Genomic DNA, 5,332 nt, shown 5'->3' with positions numbered 1-5,332 from the left:
GCTGGGCTTTCATCCGACTGGCAGTGCAGTGGGTTTGTGTACACCAGCATCACCACACACAGAGAGGAATGTGTGCGATGACGTCATAGCTGATGTGACGTCACTAGGCGAGGGGGATTTTTAGGTCCTTTTTTTTTTTTGAGACGGAGGCTTACTCTGTTGCCCAGGCTGGAGTGCAGTAGCACGATCTCGATTCACTGTAACCTCCGTTTCCCGGGTTCAAGCGATTCTCCAGCCTCAGTCTCCCGAGTAGCTGGGATTACAGTCTCACGCCACCACACCCAGCTAATTTTTGTATTTTTAGTAGAGACGGGGTTTTGCCATGTTGGCCAGGCTGGTCTTGAACTCCTGACCTCAGGTGATCCACCCGCCTCGGCCTCCCAAAGTGCTGGGATTACAGGCGTGAGCCACCACGCCCGGTCCCATTATCATCTTATGGGACCACAGTCATAGATGCAGCTCGTTGCTAAGTGAACTGTGATGCAAGGCACATGCACGTGCTTAGTTCTGTTGCTACACAGAGTGTATAGGAAAAAACTGGTTTGTCCCTCCCATCCCCGATTCCAGCTTCAGTTCCACCAGTCCTAGAGGTGTGCACTGAACCGGCTTTTTAGGACACTCTCCCGCTCCCACCGCCGCCATAGACACATATCTTAAACACACACATGTCATTGGGAAAATGATTAAAAACAAAATCTGTCAACCCAGAAAACCTCTCCACAAAGGTAACAGGAAGTTAGTTTTGCTACAACTAGACAGCAGTGTGCATCACAGACAGTCGGCTAAAGAGATTGCAAAGAAAAAGAGCTTTCATAGCCTGGCAGACACCACCCACTCCATACGTGCTAATTTCCCAAATGCCTCCTGTCTTTTGACAAGAAGTTTACTTCCTGAAGCGAGCACCTGGGCCTCACACTCCTGAGGATGGGGGAGATCCGGCGCCACCTCCTGGCTGTTTCCAAGGCGGAGAGAAGGAGCCCGGGGCTGCAAAACCTGTCAGAGGATCCCAGACTGAGGCGGACTCAGGGAGGTTTCCCACGCCTAAGATTTCATCCCTAACCAATCAGCGATCACCACTCCAAAACCCTTGAAAGCCCCCCCCAACTCCTCAGCGAGATTGAGTGATAACTCAATCTCCAGGGTGGCCGGCCTCGGGTCATAAACTATTTCTTTACTGCAATAATAATGATACAATAAAATAAATTTACATACATCTCAAGGAGACAGAGGTAGCGTTTACAATTTCAGCTTTATTAAAGGAAGTAGGAAGTGGGAGGGGGTGCCTTATTCCCTTTCTTTGCACCGGAAAAAATACAATTTTTTTCTCTAGATTTGTGTTTACCAACAACACACACACATACTCATATACACACATATGTACATATACCCCATTCACACACAGATATACACAATATATGTACACTCATGAACACACACACACACACACGTATGCACACCAGTTTGGGCCATAGTACCAAAAGACAGTTCCAAATTCCATAATCCTGAAAGCTGAAATCCTGAAAGATCAAAATCCCTAGAGTATAGAATCTTGAAAATCAAAATTTCAAAAGATAAAAATCCCCGAAACGTAATTCTGGAAAAAATAATTTTAGAATTCTCTAAAAGACATTTATTAACATTTTTAAAAGGGGATTTATCTGCGCAATAAATAAATGTGCCTGTTTACACCGAGAACAGATCTTTCCCCTGATCCAGTCAGACTCACGCACTCGTCTCCCCTGGAAACGCGCTCACAGACACCCCCAAAATAATGCCTACCAGGTTTCTCAAGTCTACAGCAGAGCCAGGCTTGTCAACTTGGCACCCAAACACATCTCCTTAAACCACACTGAATTTCCAAACAAAGATAACAAAGCAATAGTTCCACCCAACATGCAACCAACATGATGCAATGATCCTGAAATGCACTAATCCTTTTCCTAGAATTTGACTTTGAGGATTTCAACATCTGGAGTTTTGATCTTTCAGGATTTCAACACTCGAGATCGTGGCATCCAGGATTGTGTCATGGGAGATTATGATTTTCACCAATACATACCCACAACTATACATACACACGTATACACACCTGCCACACACAATGTGCCCACACTCATCCATATAGCACCCCCTCATACATTCACACATGGATGTGTGTGTTCAGGGCCTTGTCCACACCCCACCAGCAGAGCCAGGGTGTGAGCTGAGTTCTTCACCTGCCTTTGGCACTGGGCATTGCACCATGGAGGCTGTCTCTCCTCAGTGGAGGGGAGGAGGATGGTAATGATGCGCTTTATCTATATTAATGCAGGGGACCCTTACATAGCCCACAAGCACTAGCACAGCCTCATTTTACAGATGGGGCAACAGGGCCCAAAGGAACTCAGCTAGCTTTGCTTTACTGTGTGTAGGCAGCCACGCATTCTGCTGTGTGTGTGCACCAGGGCATATTTCACCAGTCCCACTCTCTGCTGTGCAAGATTCCGGCACTTACATCTGTAATCCCAGCACTTTGGGAGGCTAAGGTGGACCGATCGCTTGAGGTCAGGAGTTTGAGACCAGCCTGGCCAACATGGTGATACCCTGTCTCTACTAAAAAATACAAAAAATTAGCCTGTGTGGTGGTACACACATCTGTAATCCCAGCTACTTAGGAGGCTGAAGCACAAGAACCACTTGAACCCAGGCGGCAGAGGCTGCAGTGAGCTGAGGTCATGCCACTGCACTCCAGCCTGGGTGAGGGTGACAGAGTGAGACCCTGTCTCAAAAAAAAAAAAAAAAAAAGATCCCGGCACAGAAGGGATATCCCGAGGTCCCAGCCTGCGCTCTCTGAGCAGGCCAGAGGAAAGAGCACCAGACCCAGAGGCAGGGTGGGTTTGCATCTGGTTCTGCTCTAGCTCCAGGTGTGGCCTTGCATAAGCCTTCTTTCTTGGGCCTATGGTATGTGAGGCTGGGCTCCAAGGGCTGCTGGCTCAGATGCCCCTGAAATGGACAGCCATCAGCACCCAAGCAGTGGGCCACCCAGCATTGCCCTCAGTGGCTCAGGAGGCCAAGGAACGTTCCTGTCGCAACTGAGGGAAGCCGCTGGCCTTAAGAGCATGGAGGGCCTCTGCTTCCTGAGGATACAGTTTGTCCTTGTCCCTCCCTTGTCCTGATCCCTCTCTCCTTTTAGTTATTAATTCTGGCTCAGAGTTTATATTATCATAAACCGGTGTAAACACAAGGCACAGCTGTGCCATATGGTAATCTATGGTTACCTTCCCTCTCCTATGTAGCATTTTATTTTCTCTAGGGTTAATAATCATATGATGATTATTATTTTTCCTTGCACTTCACCTCTGTGTTCCGAGAGACTCCGGAGCAGTGCCTGGAATTTGGTAGATGCGCAGCAAAGGTGTATGGCAAAGAGGAGCGAGTGCTGGCATCGGAGCCGAGCTGGGGCACGCAGGTGACTGGATGCTGCTCTCTGTGCATCTCCAAATGCCTCTTCTCCACAACAATCTGTGAGACTCTCCTCATCCCTTTTTTGTTTTGCAGAGGAGGAGACTGAGGCACAGGCAGAACCAAGGTCACACAGTGAGTGCCTGGCAGAGCAGGTGGTACTGGGTGTGGTCCTGCCTCAGCCTCCCAAGTAGCTGGAACTACAGGCATGTGCCACCGTACTGGGCTAATTTTTGTATTTTTTATAGAGATGAGGTTTCACCATATTGCCCAGGCTGGTCGTGAACACCTGGGCTCAAGTGATCTGCCCGTCTTGGCTTCCCAAAGCACTGCGATTACAGGCGTGAGCCACTTCACCCAGCCTTGTTCCATTCTTTTTAACAGGTCTACAATAGTCTGTGAATTAGGACAACGTGACTTATTTAGCTAATCTGTTATTGATGCTCATTTAGGCTGGACAAATTCTTTCAAAGGTAGCTCAGCCCAAACTCATTAGCAATTAGAGAAATGCAAATCAAAATAACAAGGAGGTGTCATTTTACAGCTATCCTATTGACTAACATTAGAAAGGTGGGTAATGGCCGGCGCGGTGGCTCATGCCTGTAATCCCAGCACTTTGGGAGGCTGAGGCGGGCAGATCACGAGGTCCGAAGATCGAGACCATCCTGGCTAACACAGTGAAACCCTGTCTCTACTAAAAATACAAAAAAAAAAAAAAAAAAAAAAAAAAAGCTGGGCGCGTTGGCGGGCACCTGTAGTCCCAGCTACTCGGGAGGCTGGGGCAGGAGAATGGCGTGAACCCGGGAGGCGGAGCTTGCGGTGAGCCGAGATGGTGCCGCTGCACTCCAGCCTGGGCGACAGAGTGAGACTCTGTCTCAAAAAAAAAAAAAAAAAAAGGTGGGTAATGCAGAAAGTGGAAAGGTGTGGAGCCAGTGGACCCTTGTGTCTTGAGGGCAAGTGTGGCCAGCGCAGCCATCCTACAGAGGGAGCTGGCAAACCATGGCCAATTAAGTCTGAGCCAGCCACCACTGCCCTGGGGACGTACCCAGGAGAGAAACGAATTCACACCCTAGCCTTCCAGGAGGCATGTGTGAGCATGTTATTGCTGCATTGTTTAGAGGGGAACTGGGGACAATGTGAGTGTTGGTCCATAGGGGACTGAGCTCTTGAGATGTGGTTCATCTGAAGTGAGACGTGCTGTGAGTGTAAAATACACACTGGATTTCGGGGACCTAGTATGAAAAAAAGAATGCACGATATCCCATCATATTTGTATATTTTATATAGTTATTATATGCTTATATATTTATATTGGTTATGGGTTCAAATGACAATATTTTGGTTATATTGAGTCAGATAAAGTATATTATTTATAAAAGTATGTAAATTAACTATAATTAATATAAATTAATTGCACTCATTTCCTTTTACTTTTTAAAATGTGGCTACTGCATACTTTAAAGTCGCAGACGTGGCTGGGATTCTGCTTTCCTGGACAGCACTGGGTGAGAATTCTGCTCCATGAGGAGCCCGGAGAGACTGATCACAGGATCCGTGGGTGGAGTTTCGACAGGCAGGGAGCAGGGACCCAGCCAGAGGCTGGGCAGGTCTGGGCCCTCCTTCCCCACGGAAACCGCTAGGAACAGCCTGAAATAGCTACCGGGCACTCTGGAAGGCAGTCACTGTGTGGGCAGGGGGTGGACCCTGCTACGGAGAAGAATACACTAGGGGGAGGGAGAGGACCTGCAGCGTTGAATCCTGAGCGCATGGGTGGGGAAGGGCCCCGAGAAGGGGGAAAGACTTGGGAGAGGTGCAGGAACTGGTATTGGGATGTCTGGGGGAAGAAGGTTCTAGAGGAAGAACAGCTAAGCCGCACATGGCGGCGGAGGAC

The 5,332-nt window shown here is 48.4% G+C and overlaps 1 annotated feature.

Annotated features, from left to right (window-relative positions):
- Positions 291–791: an enhancer, noted in NCBI's record as "H3K4me1 hESC enhancer chr3:127730388-127730888 (GRCh37/hg19 assembly coordinates)". NCBI's record gives its function as "activates a minimal SCP1, AML or CMV promoter by ChIP-STARR-seq in naive H9 embryonic stem cells {active_cell/tissue: H9 hESC(naive)}" and the evidence as "EXISTENCE:reporter gene assay evidence [ECO:0000049][PMID:30033119]".

This window comes from Homo sapiens, chromosome 3, assembly GCF_000001405.40.
Source record: "Homo sapiens chromosome 3, GRCh38.p14 Primary Assembly".
NCBI lineage: Eukaryota > Metazoa > Chordata > Mammalia > Primates > Hominidae > Homo > Homo sapiens.
This window is presented reverse-complemented; position numbering and strand designations above follow the sequence as displayed.